Genomic DNA, 19450 nt, shown 5'->3' on the forward strand with positions numbered 1-19450 from the left:
AGCTGGGGGATATGATAACAGAAACTTCCAAACTGAAACACAAAGAGAAAAAAACGACTGAAAAACACTAAACAGAACATCAAAGAACTATGGGACACTTGCAAAAGGTGTAATACATGCATAAGGGGAATCCCAGAAGGAGAAAAAAGAGAAAGGAACAGAAGCAGTATTTGAAGCAATAATGACTGTGAATTTCCCTCAAATTAATGTCAGACACTAAACCACAGGAAGCCAGAGAACATAAAGCAGGATAAATGCAAAAAGGAAAAAAACTATACCGAGTAGGCCAGGCTTGGTGGCTCACGCCTGTAATCCCAGCACTTTGGGAGGCCGAGGCAGGCAGATCACGAGGTCAGGAGATGGAGACCATCCTGACTAACACAGTGAAACCCCGTCTTTACTAAAACTACAAAAAAATTAGCTGGGTGTGGTGGCGGGCGCCTGTAGTCCCAGCTACTCAGGAGGCTGAGGCAGGAGAATGGCATGAACCCAGAAGGTGGAGCTTGCAGTGAGCCGAGATCACACCACTGCTCTCCAGCCTGGGCGACAGAGCAAGACACTGTCTCAAAAAAAAAAAAAAAAAAAAAAAACTATATCTGAGCACATCATATTCAAACTTCAGAAAAATCAAAAGGAAAAAATCTTGAAAGATGCCAGAAGTTTAAAAAAAAAAACACCTTACCTATAGAGGAACTAAGATAAGATAAGAATGAATAAGATAAGAATTACATCAGACTTCTCAGAAACATGCAAGCAAGAAGAGACTGGAGTGAAATATTTAGTGTTGAGAGAAAAAAAGAAAAACAACACCACCAACCTAAAATCCTACCCTGTAAAATTATCCTTCAAAAGTGAAGTAGAAATAAAGACTTTCTCAGAAAAACAAAAATTGAGGGAAAGTGTTGCCAATAGCACTGGTTTGCAATAAATTTTAAAAGAAGTTCTTCAGAGAGAAAAAAAAAAACTAATATAGGTCAGAAAGTCAGATCTGCAAAAGGAAAGGAAGAGCATCAGAGAAGGAATAAGTGAAGGCAAAATTAAAAAAACGTATTTTTCTCATTCTTAATTGATCTAAAAGATAATGACTTGTTTAAAATAATAACAATATATTTATTTCTGTATGCTTTTGTGTGTATGTGTATACATGCTTGTGTATGCATATGTGTGTGTGTTTCTGTATGCTTACGTATAAGTGAAATGAATGACAGCAATGCTACAATGGACACAAAAGTGGAATTAGGACTGTGTTTTGTGATATTTGTGGCCAGATGCAGTGGCTCACACCTGTAATCCCAACATTTAGGGAGGCCAGGGCAGGCAGATCATCTGAGGTCAGGAGTTTGAGACCAGCCTGGCCAACATGGTGAAACCCCATCTCTACTAAAAATACAGAAAAAAATTAGCCAGGCATGGTGGTGCACGCCTGTGATCCCCGCTACTCAGGAGGCTGAGGCAGGAGAATCGTTTGAACCTGGGAGGTGGAGACTACAGTGAGCCAATATCACTCCACTGCACTCCAGCCTGGGTGACACAGCAAGACCCTGTCTCAAAAAAATAAATACATAAATAAATTTTTAAAAAGATATTTGCATTACTCCTGATGCAATATAGTGTTATTTGAAAGTGAACTTAGATTAATTGTATACGTACATTGTGAGCTCTCAGGCAACCAAATTTTTTTTTTTTTTTTTTGACATGGAGTCTGGCTCTGTCGCCCAGGCTGGAGTGCAGTGGCGCGATCTCGGCTCACTGCAAGCTCCACCTCCCAGGTTCACGCCATTCTCCTGCCTCAGCCTCTCTAGTAGCTGGGACTACAGGCGCCCGCCACCACGCCCGACCAATTTTTTTTGTATTTTTAGTAGAGATGGGGTTTCACCGTGGTCTCCATCTCCTGACCTCGTGATCCACCCGCCTCGGCCTCCCAAAGTGCTGGGATTACAAGCATGAGCCACCGCGCCCGGCCAGGCAACCCAATTTTTTAAAAAAGGTATAATTGATATGCAGAAAAAGGAAAGAAAATGGAATCATATAAAATGCTTAATTAAAACTGCAAAAGGAGCCTCTCTCGCCCCACCTTCGCTAATACCAGTGCCTCCTCTACCTCTGTGCACTCCATGAAGGAGATGGGGCTAGAGCCAGGAGGTCTCCACACCTGCTCTCCCACAAAGCGGACTGCCCACAAGGCCACCGATGTAAAGCGCCCAGGAAGCCACTGGCTGCAAAAGCCGCTCGCAGAGTGCGCCCTCTACCGGAGGGGTGAAGGAACCTCATCGTCCCAGGTCCGGTACTGTGGCACTCCGGGAAATCAGACGTCATCTGAAGTCCAGGAATTCCTGTTTCACAAACTTCCTTCCCAGCATCTGGTGTGAGAAATTGCTCAGGACTTTAAAACAGATCTGCGCTTCCAGACCGCAACTATTGGTGCTTTGCAGGAGTCAAGCGATGCCTTGCTGAAGACATTAACTTGTGTGCTGTCTATGCCAAACGTGTAACAATTGTGCCAAAAGACATCCGGCTAATATGCCCCATATGTGGGAGAACGTGGATAAGATCACTACGATGGGAAACATTTCATTCTCAAAAAAAAAAAAAAAAAAAAAATTCTCTTCACCACCTGTTAGTGATGTTAGTGATGGTTCTGAATGTTAGGTTTTTTTTTTTTTTCCCATGGGGTCAAAAGGAACCTAAGAATATGACTGTGAGTGGAAAAATACAGGACTTAAATCAGGTATTGGCAGTTTTTCCATTTTTATTTGTGTGTGAATTTTTAATATAAATGCAGGGACACAAGGCATTAATGCAAGCCAAAATGTTTCAGTGAACGAGTTTCAGCAGTTCAACTTTATAATAATTATAAACAAACCTGTTAAATTTTTCTCGATAATGCCAGCATTTGGATTTTTTAAAACAATTCAGCTTCTATGGACAGCAAGCAAATGGTGTTTGTAGCATTTTTATCATACAGTAGACCCCATTCATTCACTATTCTGAGTTATCCTACATGACAGTACATGTTTCTAATATTGTCTGTCTTCTGTGCTGTTCCTGTAAGTTTTAAAATGCATTAAATTCTTTAAAAAATTAAAATAGAAATTTAAAAAACAAGCTACAAAAGGCAAAAAAAAGTATGGAAGACAAAAACAGGAACAAAGAACAAGAGCAACCAATAGAAAACAATAACAAATATGGCAGACATCAATTCAACTATATCAATAATCACTTCAAATGTCAATGGTCTACCTACACCACTTAAAACATAAATAAAGGGCTGGGTGTGGTGTCTCAGGCCTTTAATCCCAGCATATTGGGAGACCAAGCCAAGCAGATCTCTTAAGCCCAGGAATTCAAGATCATCCTGAGTAACATGGCAAAACCTCATCTCTACAAAAAAATACAAAAACTAGCCAAGCATGCTGGTACACACCTGTAGTCCCAACTTCTCTGGAGGCTGAGGTGGGAGGATCACTTCAGCCTGGGAGGTCAAGGCAGCAGTAAGCCAAGTTCGTAGCACTGCACTCCAGCCTGGGTGACAGAGCCAGACCCTGCCTCAAAAAAAAAAAGAAAAAGAAAAAGATAGATATTCAAAGTGCATCAAAACATATGACCCAGGACCGTTCCAAGATGGCTGAATAGGAACAGCTCTAGTCTGCAGCTCCCAGTGTGATCAACACAGAAGATGGGTGATTTCTGCATTTCCAGCTGAGGTACCTGGTTCATCTCATTGGGACTGGTTGGACAGTGGGTGCAGCCCACAGAGGGCAAGCTGAAGCAGGGCAGGGTGTTGCCTCAGCTGGGAAGTTCAAGGAGTCAGATTTCCCTTTCCTAGCCAAGGGAAGCCATGACAGACTGTACCTGGAAAAATGGGGCACTTCTGCCCAAATACTGCGCTTTTCCAACTGTCTTAGCAAACGGCATACCAGGAGATCATATCCTGCGCCTGGCTCAGTGAGTCCCACACCCATGGAGCCTTGCTAATTGCTAGCGCAGCAGTCTGAGATGGACTTGCAAGGTAGCAGCCTGGCAGGGGGAGGGACGTCCGCCATTGCTGAGGCTTGAGTAGGTAAACAAAGCGGAAGGGAAGCTAGAATGGGGCAGAGCCCACCACAGCTCAACAAGGCCTACTGCCTCTGTAGACCCCACCTCTGGGGGCAGGGCATAGCTGAACAAAAGGCAGCAGAAACTTCTTCAGACTTAAACATCCCTGTCTGACAGCTCTGAAGAGAGCAGTGGTTCTTTCAGCATGGTGTTTGAGCTCTGAGAACAGACAGACTGCCTCCTCAAGTGGGTCCCTGACCCCCGTGTAGACTAACGGAGAGACACATCCCAGTAGGGGCCGACTGACACCTCATAGAGGTGGGTGCCCCTCTGGGACAAAGCTTCCAGAGGAAGGATCAGGCAGCAATATTTACCGTTCTGCAATATTTGCTGTTCTGTGGCCTCCGCTGGTGATACCCAGGCAAACAGTGTCTGGAGTAGACCTCCAGCAAACTCCAACAGACCTGGAGCTTAGAAACCTGTTAGAAGGAAAACTAACAAACAGAAAGGAATAGCATCAACATCAACAAAAAGGACATCCACACCAAAACCCCATCTGTAGGTCACCAACATCAAAGACCAAAGGTAGATAAAACCACAAAGATGGGGAGAAACCAGAGCAGAAAAGCTGAAAATTCTAAAAACCAGAGCGCCTCTTCTCCTCCAAAAGATCGCAGCTCCTCGCCAGCAATGGAACAAAGCAGGACAGAGAATGACTTTGACGAGTTGACAGAAGTAGGCTTCAGAAGGTTGGTAATAACAAACTTCTCCAAGCTAAAGGAGGATGTTCAAAACCATCACAAGGAAGCTGAAAACCTTGAAAAAAGATTAGAAGAATGGCTAGCTAAAATAAACAGTGTAGAGATCTTAAATGACCTGAGGGAGCTGAAAACCACGGCACAAGAACTACGTGATGCATGCACAAGCTTCAGTAGCCAATTCGATCAAGTGGAAGAAAGGGTATCAGTGATTGAAGATCAAATTAATGAAATAAAGTGAGAAGAGAAGTTTAGAGAAAAAAGAGTAAAAAGAAATGAACAAAGCCTCCAAGAAATATGGGACTATGTGAAAAGACCAAATCTATGTTTGATTGGTGTACCCAAAAGTGATGGGGAGAATGGAACCAAGTTGGAAAACACTCTTCAGGATATTATCCAGGAGAACTTCCCCAACCTAGCAAGGCAGGTGAACATTCAAATTCAGGAAATACAGAGAACACCACAAAGATACTCCTTGAGAAGAGCAACTCCAAGACACATAATTGTCAGATTCACCAAGGTTGAAATGAAGGAAAAAAATGTTAAGGGCAGCCAGAGAGAAAGGTCGGGTTACCCGCAAAGGGAAGCCCATCAGACTAACAGCAGATCTCTTGGCAGAAGCTCTACAAGCCAGAAGACAGTGGGGGCCAATAGTCAACATTCTTAAAGAAAAGAATTTTCAAGCCAGAATTTCATATCCAGCCAAACTAAGCTTCATAAGTGAAGGAGAAATAAAAACCTTTACAGACAAGCAAATGCTGAGAGATTTTGTCACCACCAGGCCTGCCTTACAAGAGCTCCTGAAGGAAGCACTAAACATGGAAAGGAACAACCAGTACCAGCCACTGCAAAAACATGCCAAATTGTAAAGACCATCGATGCTAGGAAGAAACTGCATCAACTAACAGGCAAAATAACCAGTTAACATCATAATGACAAGATCAAATTCACACATAACAATATTAGCTTTAAATGTAAGTGGGCTAAATGCCACAATTAAAAGACACAGACTGGCAAATTGGATAAAGAGTCAAGACCCATCAGTATGCTGTATTCAGTAGACCCATCTCATATGCAGAGACACACATAGGCTCAAAATAAAGGGATGGAGGAAGATCTACCAAGCAAATGGAAAGCAAAAAAAAGCAGGGATTGCAATCCTAGTCTCCGATAAAACAGACTTTAAACCAACAAAGATCAAAAGAGGCAAAGAAGGCCATTACATAATGGTAAAGGGATCAATTCAACAAGAAGAGCTAACTATCCTAAATATATATGCACCCAATACAGGAGCACCCAGATTCATAAAGCAAGTCCTTAGAGACCTACAAAGAGACTTAGACTCCCACACAATAATAATGGGAGACTTTAACACCCCACTGTCAATATTAGACAGATCAACAAGACAGAAGGTTAACAAGGATATCCAGGACTTGAACTCAGCTCTGCACCAAGCAGACCTAATAGACATCTATGGAACTCTCTATCCCAAATCAACAGAATATACATTCTTCTCAGCACCACATCTCACTTATTCCAAAATTGACCACATAGATGATAGTAAAGCACTCCTCAGCAAATGTAAAAGAACAGAAATCACAACAAACTGTCTCTCAGACCACAGTGCAATCAAATTAGAACTCAGGATTAAGAAATTCACTCAAAATCACACAACTACATGGAAACTGAACAACCTGCTCCTGAATGACTACTGGGTAAATAACAAAATGAAATCAGAAATAAAGATGTTCTTTGAAACCAATGAGAACAAAGACACAACAGACCAGAATCTCTGGGATACATTTAAAGCAGGGTGTAGAGGGAAATTTATAGCACTAAAGGACCACAAGAGAAAGCAGGAAAGATCTAAAATTGACACCCAACATCACAATTAAAAGAACTAGAGAAGCAAGAGCAAACAAATACAAAAGCTAGCAGAGGGTAAGAAATAACTAAGATCAGAGCAGAACTGAAGGAGATAGAGACACAAAGAAACCCTTCAAACAATCAATGAATCCAGGAGCTGGTTTTTGGAAAAGATCAACAAAATTCATAGACTGCTAGCAAGACTAATAAAGAAGAAAAGAGAGAAGAATCAAATAGAAGCAATAAAAAATGATAAAGGCGGCTGGGTGTGGTGGCTCACGGCCGTAATCCCAGCACTTTGGGAGGCTGAGGCGGGTGGATCATGAGGTCAGGAGATCGGGACCATCCTGGCTAACATGGTGAAACCCCGTCTCTACTAAAAATACAAAAAAAAAATTAGCCTAGAGTGGTGGTGGGCATCTGTAGTCCCAGCTACTAGGGAGGCTGAGGCAGGAGAATGGCGTGAACCCAGGAGGCAGAGCTTGCAGTGAGCCGAGATCGCGCCACCGCACTCCAGCCTGGGCAACAGAGCTAGACTCCATCTCAAAAAGAAAAATAAATAAAAAATAAAAAATGATAAAGGAGATATCACCACCGATCCCACAGAAATACAAACTGCCATCAGAGAATACTATAAACACCTCAACACAAATAAACTAGAAAATCTAGAAGAAATGGACAAATTCCTTGACACATACACCATCCCAAGCCTAAATCAGGAAGAAGTTGAATCTCTGAATAGACTAATAACAGTCTCTGAAATTGAGGCAATAATTAATAGCCTACCAACCAAAAAAAGTCCAGGACCAGATGGATTCACAGCCAAATTCTACCAGAGGTACAAAGAGGAGCTGGTACCATTTCTTCTGAAACTATTCCAACCACTATTCCAATCAATAGAAAAAGAGGGAATCCTCCCTAACTCATCTGATGAGGCCAGCATCATCCTGATACCAAAGCCTGGCAGAGACACAACAAAAAAAAAAGAGAATTTTAGACCAATATCCCTGATGAACATCGATGCAAAACTTCTGAGTAAAATACTGGCAAACTGAATCCAGCAGCACATCAAAAAGCTTATCCACCATGATCAAGTCGTCTTCATCCCTGGGATGCAAGGCTGGTTCAACAAATGCAAATCAATAAATGTAATCCATCACATAAACAGAACCAAAAACAAAAACAACATGATTATCTCAATAGATGCAGAAAAGGCCTTCAACAAAATTCAACAGCCCTTCATGCTAAAAACTCTCAATAAACTAGGTGTTGATAGAATGTATCTCAAAACAATAAGAGCTATTTATGAGAAACCCACAGCCAATATCATACTGAATGGGCAAAAACTGGAAGCATTCCCTTCAAAAACTGGCACAAGACAGGGATGCCCTCTCTCACCATTCATGTTCAACATAGTGTTGGAAGTTCTGGCTAGGGCAATCAGGCAGGAGAAGGAAATAAAGGGTATTCAATTAGGAAAAAAGGAATTTAAATTGTCCCTGTTTGCAGATGACATGATTGTATATTTAGAAAACCCCATCATCTCAGCTCAAAATCTCCTTAAGCTGATAAGCAACTTCAGCAAAGTCTCAGAATACAAAATCATTGTGCAAAAATCACAAGCATTCCTATACACCAATAACAAACAAACAGAGAGCCAAATCATGAGTGAACTCCCATTCACAATTGCTACAAAGAGAATAAAATACCTAGGAATCCAACATACAAGGGATGTGAAGGACCTCTTCAAAGAACACTACAAACCACTGCTCAACAAAATACAAGAGGACACAAACAAATGGAAGAACATTCCATTCTCATAGATAGGAAGAATCAATATCATGAAAATGGCCATACTGCCCAAGGTAATTTATAGATTCAATGCTATCCCAATCAAGCTACCAAAGACTTTCTTCACAGAATTGGAAAAAACTACTTTAAAGTTCATATGGAACCAAAAAAGAGCCCACATTGCCAAGACAATCCTAAGCAAAAAGAATAAAGCTGGAGGCATCACACTACCTGACTCCAAACTATACTACAAGGCTACAGTAACCAAAACAGCATAGTGCTGGTACCAAAACAGAGATATAGACCAATGGAACAGAAAAGAAGCCTCAGAAATAACACTACACATCTGCAACCATCTGATCTTTGACAAACCTGACAAAAACAAGATATGGGGAAAGGATTCCCTATTTAATAAATGGTGCTGGGAAAACTGGCTAGTCATACGTAGAAAGCTGAAACTGGATCCCTTCCTTACACCTTATACAAAAATTAATTCAAGATGGATTAAAGACTTACATGTTAGACCTAAAACCATAAAAACCCTAGAAGAAAACCTAGGTAATACCATTCGGGACATAGGCATGGGCAAGGACTTCAAGAGTAAAACACCAAAAGCAATGGCAACAAAAGCCAAAATAGACAAATGGGATCTAATTAAACTAAAGAGCTTCTGCACAGCAAAAGAAATTACCATCAAAGTGAACAGGCAACCTACAGAAAGGGAGAAAATTTTTGCAATCTACTCATCTGACAAAGGGCTAATATCCAGAATCTACAAAGAACTTAAATTTACAAGAAAAAAACAACCCCATCAAAAAGTGGGCAAAGGATATGAACAGACACTTCTCAAAAGAAGACATTTATGCAGCCAACAGACACATGAAAAAATGCTTATCATCACTGGTCATCAGAGAAATGCAAATCAAAACCATACCGTCTCACACCAGTTAGAATGGTGATCATTAAAAAGTCAGGAAACAAGAGATGCTGGAGAGGATGTGGAGAAATAGGAGCACTTTTACACCGTTGGTGGGAGTATAAACTAGTTCAATCATTGTGGAAGACAGTGTGGTGATTCCTGAAGGATCTAGAACTAGAAATACCATTTAACCCAGCCATCCCATTACTGGGTATATACCCAAAGGATTATAAATCATGCTACTATAAAGACACATGCACACATATGTTTATTGTGGCACTATTCACAATAGCAAAGACTTGGAACCAACCCAAATGTCCATCAATGATAGACTGGATTAAGAAAATGTGGCACGCTCTCCCTCTCCCTCTCCCTCTCCCTCTCCCTCTCCCTCTCCACAGTCTCCCACTGATGCCAAGCCGAAGCTGGACTGTACTGCTGCCATCTCGGCTCACTGCAGCCTCCCTGCCTGATTCTCCTGCCTCAGCCTGCCCAGTGCCTGCGATTGCAGGCGCGCGCCGCCACGCCTGACTGGTTTTCGTATTTTTTTGGTGGAGACGGGGTTTCGCTGTGTTGGCCGGGCTGGTCTCCAGCTCCTAACCGCGAGTGATCCGCCAGCCTCGGCCTCCCGAGGTGCCGGGATTGCAGACGGAGTCTGGTTCACTCAGTGCTCAATGCTGCCCAGGCTGCAGTGCAGTGGCGTGATCTCGGCTCGCTACAACCTCCACCTCCCAGCCGCCTGCCTTGGCCTCCCAAAGTGCCGAGATTGCAGCCTCTGCCCGGCCGCCACCCCGTCTGGGAAGTGAGGAGCGTCTCTGCCTGGCTGCCCATCGTCTGGGACGTGAGGAGCCCCTCTGCCTGGCTACCCAGTCTGGAAAGTGAGGAGCGCCTCTACCTGGCCGCGACCCCGTCTGGGAGGTGAGGAGCGTCTCTGCCCGGCTGCCCTGTCTGAGAAGTGAGGAGACCCTCCGCCTGGCAACCGCCCCATATGAGAAGTGAGGAGCCCCTCTGACCGGCAGCCACCCTGTCTGGGAAGTGAGGAGCGTCTCCGCCCGGCAGCCACCCCATCCGGGAGGGAGGTGGGGGTCAGCCCCCCCCAGGCCAGCCGCCCCTTCTGGGAGGGAGGTGGGGGGGTCAGCCCCCCGCCCGGCCAGCCGCCCCGTCCGGGAGGGAGGTGGGGGGGTCAGCCCCCGGCCCGGCCACCGCCCCGTCCGGGAGGGAGGTGGGGGGGTCAGCCCCCCGCCTGGCCAGCCGCCCCGTCCGGGAGGGAGGTGGGGGGGGTCAGCCCCCCGCCCGGCCAGCCGCCCAGTCCGGGAGGTGAGGGGCGCCTCTGCCCGGCCGCCCCTACTGGGAAGTGAGGATCCCCTCTGCCCAGCCACCACCCCGTCTGGGAGGTGTACCCAACAGCTCATTGAGAAGGGGCCATGATGACAATGGCGGTTTTGTGGAATAGAAAGGGGGGAAAGGCGGGGAAAAGATTGAGAAATCGGATGGTTGCCGTGTCTGTGTAGAAAGAGGTAGACACGGGAGACTTTTCATTTTGTTCTGTACTAAGAAAAATTCTTCTGCCTTGGGATCCTGTTGATCAGTGACCTTACCCCCAACCCTGTGCTCTCTGAAACATGTGCTGTGTCCACTCAGGGTTAAATGGATTAAGGGCGGTGCAAGATGTGCTTTGTTAAACAGATGCTTGAAGGCAGCATGCTCGTTAAGAGTCATCACCACTCCCTAATCTCAAGTACCCAGGGACACAAACACTGCGGAAGGCCGCAGGGTCCTCTGCATAGGAAAACCAGAGACCTTTGTTCACTTGTTTATCTGCTGACCTTCCCTCCACTATTGTCCTATGACCCTGCCAAATCCCCCTCTGTGAGAAACACCCAAGAATGATCAATTAAAAAAAAAAAAAAAAGAAAGAAAATGTGGCACATATACATCATGAAATACTATGCAGCCATAAAAAAGGATGACTTCATGTCTTTTGCAGGGACATGGATGAAGCTGGAAACCATCATTCTCAGCAAACTATCGCAAGGACAGAAAATCAAACACCGCATGTTCTCGCTCATAGGTGGGAACTGAACAATGAGAACACTTGGACACAGGGCGGGGAACGTCACACACCGGGGCCAGTCGTGGGGTGGGGGGCTAGGGGAGGGATAGCATTAGGAGAAATACCTAATGTAAATGACGAGTTAAAGGGTGCAGCAAACCAACACAGCACATGTATACCTATGTAACAAACCTGCACATTGTGCACATGTACCCTAGAACTTAAAGTATAATAAAATAAAATAAAATAAAATAAAATATGACCCAACTACATGTTGTATACAAGAAACCCACTTTAAACATAAATACATAAGTAGATTAGAAGTAAAGGGATGAAGAAAGATTTACCATTCCAACACTAATCCAGGGAAAGTGAGAGTAGTTATATTAATTTCAACAGAACAGATTTCAGCGCAAAGAAAGTTATCAGGAATAAAGAGGGACATTATGTAATGATAATGATAATTGAGAAGTCAATACTCAGAGAAGACATAACAATCCTTAATGTACATGCACCTAACAGAGTGCCAAAATACATGCGGCAAAAACTGATCAAACTGCAAGGCAGAATAGATAAAAGCACTATTATATTTGGACACTTTAACACACCTTTATCAGAAATGGACAGATCCAACAGGCATAAAAATAAAATCAGTAAGGACGTAGCTGAACTCAACAGCACCATCAATCAACTGGATATAATTGACATCTATAGACTACTTCATCCAACAATAGCAAATTACACATTTTTCTCAAGTTCACATGGAACATTCTCCAACATAGGCCACATTCTGTTCTATCTTAGGACATAAAATATATCTTAACAAATTTAAAAGAATGGAAACTATGGCTGGGCACAGTGGCTCACACCTGTAATCCCAGCACTCTGGGAGGCTGAGGCAAGTGGATCACGAGGTCAGAAGTTCGAGACCAGCCTGGCCAAGATGGTGAAACCCCATCTCTACTAAAAATAAAAAAAATCAGCCAGGCGTGGTGGTGGGCGCCTGTAATCCCAGCTACTTGGGAGGCTGAGGCAGGAGAATCACTTGAACCCAGGAGGCGGAGGTTGCAGTGAGCCAAGTTCATGCCACTGAACTCCATCCTGGGCTACAGAGTGAGACTCCATCTCAAAAAAATAATAATAATCAAATAATAATAATAATAATAATCATCATCATCATCATCATCATCATCATAGAGAAAAGCAACCAGTAGTAAAATCTTGTCCTTTGGAGAGATCGATAAAATTGATAAACCTCTAGACAGACTAAATTTTTTTAAAAAGAGAAAGAGAAAACACAAATTACTAGTATTGCAAATGAAAGAGAGAATGTCACTACAGATCCCATGAACTTTAAAAGGATAATAAAGGAATATTATGATCAACCCCCACTCACAAATTTTATAACCTAGATGAAATGTACTAAGTTCTTAAAAGGCACAATCTGCCAAAACTCACACAAGAATAAAGAGACAATCTGTATAGACCTATACTTATTAAAGAAATTGAATCAATAATTTAAAATGTCCTTGTATAAAGCACCTTGTAAGAGTGAAACCATCAAACCCAGATGGGTTCACTGGTGAATTCTACCAAATAGTTAAATTAGAAATTATACCTATATAATTTATAATATAGATATAATCTCTTCCAGAAGGTGGAAACAGAGAGAATACTTCCTAACTCATTCTATGAGGTCAGTATTACCCCAATACCAAAATCAGACAAAGACATTACAAGAAAAGAAATCTACAGACCAACACCTCTCAAGAGCACAGAAGCAAAAATCCTCAACGAAATATTAGCAAATCAAATCCAACAACGTACAAAAAGAATTATGCACAACTGAGTGGAATTTATCCCAGGTATGCAAGACCAGTTTACTATTCAAAAATCTGTTAATGTAATCCATCACATCAACAGGCTAAAGAAGAAAAATCACATAAACGTATCAATAGATGCAGGAAAACCATTTGACAAAATCCAATACCCATTTATGATTAAAACTCTCAGCAAACTAGGAATAGAGAGAAGCTCCTCAACATGATAAAGAACATCTACCAAAAACCTACAGCTAACATCATACTTAATGATGAGAAACTCAGAACTTTCCCACTAAGATCATGAACAGGCAAGGATGTCCCCTCTCACCACTGATTTTCAACACTATACTGGAAGCCCTAGCTAATGCAACAAGACAATTAAAGGAAATAAAAGGTATGCAGATTGTGAAGGAAGAAATAAAACTGTATTCATTCACAGATTACATGATTGTCTAGAAAATTTTTTTAAAAGATGAAAAAAAAACCCTTCTAGAACTAAAAAGTGATTATAGTGAGGTTGCTGGATAAAGGTGAATATTTAAAAGTCAACAAAAATCTTCAACAAAATATTAGCAAACTGAATTCAACACATTAAAAAGATCATTCATCATGATCAGTTGGGATTTATCCCAGGGATGCATGGAGGGTTCAACATATGCAAATCAATCATATCAACAGAATGAATGACTAAAACCACATGACCATTTCAATACATGCTGAAAAGACATTCAATAAAATTCAACATCTTTCCGTGATAAAAACCTTAACAAACTGGTTATAGAAAGAACATACTCCAACACAATAAAAGCCATATATGACAAACCCACAGTTGTTATCATACTGAATAAGGAAAAACTGAAAGCCTTTACTCTAAAATCTGGAACAAGACAAGGATGCCCCCTTTCACCAATTTTACTCAACACAGCACTAGAAGTCTTAGCCAGAGCAATTAGACAAGAAAAAGATATAAAGGGAATCCAAACTGGAAAGGAAGAAGTCAAGTTATCTTCGTTTGCAGATGATGGGATCTTATATATAGAAGAACCTAAAGACTCCATCCACCCAAAACTATTAGCACCAAAAAGCAAATTCAGTAAAGTTGCAGGATTCAAAATCAACATACAAGAATCAGTAGCATTTCTATATGCCAATAGCAAACAGTCTGAAAAAGAAACTAAGAAAGTAATTCCATTTTCAATCGCTACAAATAAAATAAAATATCTAAAAATAAACTTAACTGAAGAAGTGAAAGTCCTCATACCTAGAAATAAACTTAACTCAAGAAGTGAAAGTTCTCATCAATGAAAACTATAAAATGCTGATGAAAGAAATTGAGGAAGACACCAAAATGGAAAGATATGACATGTTTGTGGATCGCAAGAATCAACATTGTTAAAATATCCATACTACCCAAAGCAATCTACATATTGCATTGAATCTACCAGAATACCAATGACATTCTTTACAGAAATAGAAAAACAATCCTAAAATTCATATGAAACCACAAAAGACCCCAAATAGTTAAAGCAATCTAGAGCAAAAAGAACAAAGCTAGAGCTATCACTCTGCCTGACTTCAAATTATACTACAAAGCTACAGTAACCAAAACCACATGGTACTGCAATAAAAACAGACACATAGACCAATGGAACAGAATAGAGAAACCAAAAATTAATCCATGCACTTACAGCCAACTTATTTTCAGCCAAAGTGCCAAGAACATACACTAAGGGAGGGGTAGTTTCTTTAATAAATGGTCCTGGGAAAACTGGGTATCCATAGGAAGAAGAGTGAAACTAGACTCCTATCTATCTCTCACCATTAAAAAAAATCAAATCAAAATGGATTAAAGACTTGACTCCAAAACCTAAAACTATGAAACTACTAGAAGAAAACATTGGGGAAACCCTCCAGGACGTTGGTTTGGGCAAAGATTTCTTGAGTAAGAGTTCAAAAGCACAGGCAACAAAAGCAAAAATAAATAAATGGGATCACACCAAGCTAAAAAGCTTCCACACAGCAAAGGAAACAATCAACAAAGTGAAGTGACAGCCTACCAAATGGGAGAAAATATTTGCACACTACCCATCTGACAAGGAATTAATAACCAGAATGCATAAAGAGCTCACACAAATCAATAGGAAAAAAAAATCCAATTAAAACATGGGCAAAAGATTTGAATAGGCATTTCTCAAAAGAAGACATACAAATGACAACTGGGTATATGAGAAAATGCTCAGCATCACTAACCTTTACAGAAATGCAAATCGAAAGTACAATGAGATATCATCTTGCTTGTTAAAATGTCTTTTATCAAGAAGGCATAACATGCTGGTGAGGATGTGTAGAAAGAGTAACCATCATGCACTGTAGGTGGGAATGTAAAGTACAGCCACTATGGAGAACAATATGGAGGTTTCTCAAAACACTGAAAATAGAGCTACCATACAACCCAGTAATCCCACTGCTAGGTATGCGTCCAAAAGAAAGGAAATCAGTAAATCAAACTGATATCTGCACTTGCATGTTTCTTGCAGCACTATTCACAATAGCCAAGATATGGAATCAACCTAAGTGTCAATCAACAGATGAAAGGATAAAGAAAATGTGGTACATACACACACTGGAATATTATTCAGCCATAAAAAAGAATGAAGTCCTGTCTTTTGCAACAACATGGATGGAATGGAAGTCATTATGTTAAGTAAGCCAGGTACAGAAAGACAAATATCACATGTTCTCACTCAAATGTGGGAGCCAAAAAAGCAGATCTCATGGAGGTAGAGAGTAGAACAGTGGTTATCAGAGGATGGGAAGGGTAATAGGGTGGGAGGAATGAAGGGAAGTTGGTTAATGAGTACAAAAATGTAGTTAGATAGAAGGAACAAGTTCTAGTATTTGATAGTATACTAGGAAAATTATAGTTAACAATAATTTATTATATATTTCAAAACAGTGAGAAGAGAAGAATTGTAATGTTCCCAACACAGAGAAGAGTTACGTGTTTGAGGTGATGGATATCCCAGTTGCTTAATTGCCCTGACATTGTATATATGTATCAAAATACCACATGTCACCCCAAAACGTATACAACAATGATGTATCAATTTTAAATATGTAAAACTCCTGCTCTATGAAGGACAATATTAAGAGAATAAAAAGACAAGCCACACACTGGGTGAAAAAATTTGCAAAAGACAAATTTTTTTTTTTTTTTTGAGACAGAGTCTCGCTCTGTCAACCAGGCTGGAGTGCAGTGGTGCAATCTCGTCTCACCGCAACCTCTGCTTCCCAGGTTCAAGCAATCCTCATGCCTCAGCCTCCCGAGTAGCTGGGACTACAGGCACATGCCACCACGCCCAGCTAATTTTTTGTATTTTAGCAGAGACAGGGTTTCACCATGTTGCCCAGGCTGGCCTTCAACTTTTGAGCTCAGGCAATCTGCCCACCTTGGCCTCCCAAAATGCTAGGATTACAGGTGTGAGCCACCACACCTGGCCTGCAAAAGACACATCTGATGAAGGACTGTTACCCAAAATACACAAAGAACTCTTAAAATTAAACAATAAAAAAAGAACAACCTGATTAAAAAATGGGTGAAAAGCCTGAACAGATAACTCACCAGAGAAGATACACAGATGGCAAATAAGCATATGAAAATACGTTCAACACCACATGTCATTAGGACATTGCAAGTTAAAATAAAAATGAGATACCACTATATACCTATTAAAATGGCCAAAATCCAAAACACTGACAACACCAAATGCTGGTGACGATGTGGAGCAAAAGGAACTCTCCTTCTTTGCTCATGGGAATGCAAAATATCCACTTTGGAAGACAGTTTGGCAGTTTCTTACAAAACTAAATACACTCTTATCATATGATCTAGCAATCTTTAGTATTTACCCAAATTAAGTGAAAACTTATGTTTATGCACATGAATGTTTATAGCAGCTTTATTCACAATTGCCAAAACTTGGAAGCAACCAAGATGTCCTTCAGTAGATAAATAAATAAATAAACTGAGGTGCATCCAGACAATGGAATATTATTTAGCAACAACAACAACAACAAAAAGAGCTATCAAGCCATGCAAATATATGAAGGAAGCCTGAATGCATTTTTTTTTTTTTTTTTTTTTTGAGATGGAATCTCGCTCTGTCACCAGGCTGGAGTGCAGTGGCATGATCTCAGCTCACTGCAATCTCCGCCTCCCGGGTTCAAGCAATTCCCCTGCCTCAGCCTCCCAAGTACCTGGGACTAGAGGGGCTCACCACCATGCCGGCTAATTTTTTGTATTTTAGTAGAGATGGGGTTTCACCAAGCTGGCCAGGATGGTCTCACTCTCCTCACCTCACGATCCACCCGCCTCAGCCACCCAAAGTGCTGGGATTACAGGCGTGAGCCACCGCGCCCGGCCTTGAATGCATTTTACAAGTGAAAGAAGTCAATCTGAAAAGGCCACGAGTTGGGTGATTCCAACTACATAATATTCTGGAAAAGGAAAAACAATGGAGTAAAAAGACAAATGGTTTCCAGGGATTAGGAAGAAGGGAGAGATGAACAAGGAGAGCATACAGGAATTCTAGAGCAGTGAAACTCTTCTGTATAACACTACCATGGTGGATGCATGTCATTATACACATGTCAAAACCCATAGGATGTACAAACCAAAAGTGAAGCCTAATGTAAAATATGGACTTTGGGTGATATTAACATGTCAATGTAAGTTCACAAAGTGTGACGAATGTACCACTGTGTTGGGAGATGTCAATAGTGGGGAAGGTACGTGTGTATGGGGACGGGGTATGTGGAAACTCTCTGTACTTTAAGCTCAATTTTTCCGTGAACCTAAAACTGCCCTAAAATGTAAAATTTACCAATTTGTTTAAAAAGTTAATAAGTGCCAGAGCTAGGATTTTATCTCAGATGGAGTCAACTCTAAAATTGTGGCTTAATTTGGCAATGCCAGCAGGTCTCCGAGATTACAGTCGCAGGTCCCAAGCAACTGAATTTGGACCCTGTAACACTTTACGTTTCTTCGACCCTTTCTTCTTAAGGTTTTCCAGCTTTAACTTAACTTCCAGCAGCCAAGGGCATCACACTATCAACAAAGCCACACATCAAGGAGCTATATTACTACAAGCAGGCAAAAATACTTAAGGAGGCCAGGCGCGGTGGCTCACGCCTATAATCCCAGCACTTTGGGAGGTGGAGGCGGGTGGATTGCCTGAGCTCAGGAGTTCGAGACCAGCCTGGCCAACATGGTGAAACCCTGTCTCTACTAAAAATACAAAACTTACCCGGGCATGGTGGCGGGCACCTGTAATCCCAGCTACTCAGGAGGCTGAGGCACAATAATTGCTTGAACCCAGGAGGCAGAGGTTGCAGTGAGCCGAGATCACTGCACTCCAGCCTGGTCAGCAGAGCGAGACCCCATCTCAAAAAACTTAAATTAAATTAATAGTTAATAAATAAAATAATTAAGGAAATCTTTATTCACAACAACCAGTTCTAAATTGTAAGTTGTACCAGGTATCTATTGCTGTGTAATAAGCAACACCCAAAATCTAGTGGTTTAAAATAACAACAGTTTATTATTATTTGTGATTCTAGGGGTTGGCCAAGAAGTTCCATTGCTCCCACTGGGCTGACTTATCCAACCATATTCTGCTGGTGGACCAGCTGGGTACTGTGCTCTACTGAGTCGGCTGAAATAGCTGCACCTCTCTCTCCACACAGTCTTTTATGTTGAGTTTTTCACAGCATGGTGACCTCCAAAGTCCAAGCCATAAAAGCAGAGGTTCCAAGCCTTTTAGGCTCTAGCCTCAGAAGCTGGACAGTGTGCTACTGTTATGTTCCACTGGTCAGAGCCAGTCCATTCGCCCAGCCCATATTGAAGGAGTGAGAAACTAGATGCCACCTCTTGATGAGAGGAGCAGCAAAGTCACATTGCCAAAAGGCATGAACACAAAAAGACGCGATTCATCAGGGGCCATTATTTTAAATATTGTTGTGCCACAGCTTCCTTTGGACCCATTGATTCACGTCTCCTTCACATGCAAATCCCCAAAGTCTCATCCAATCCCAGCATCAGGCTCAGAGCCCATGATCTCATGCAGATCATCAAGTACCGATAAAGATGAGGCTAGCAAAGAATGGCTCTTTGGTGCAGCAACTCTTAATCTAGAGCTCCATGAAC

At 41.7% G+C, this 19450-nt stretch overlaps 1 pseudogene; it reads left to right on the forward strand.

The window, feature by feature from the left end:
* Positions 2058-2738, forward strand: H3P28 (H3 histone pseudogene 28; annotated as a pseudogene).
* Positions 2739-19450: the final 16712 nt, after the last annotated feature.

Source organism: Homo sapiens, chromosome 6 (assembly GCF_000001405.40).
Source record: "Homo sapiens chromosome 6, GRCh38.p14 Primary Assembly".
In the NCBI taxonomy this organism is placed as follows: Eukaryota; Metazoa; Chordata; class Mammalia; order Primates; family Hominidae; genus Homo; species Homo sapiens.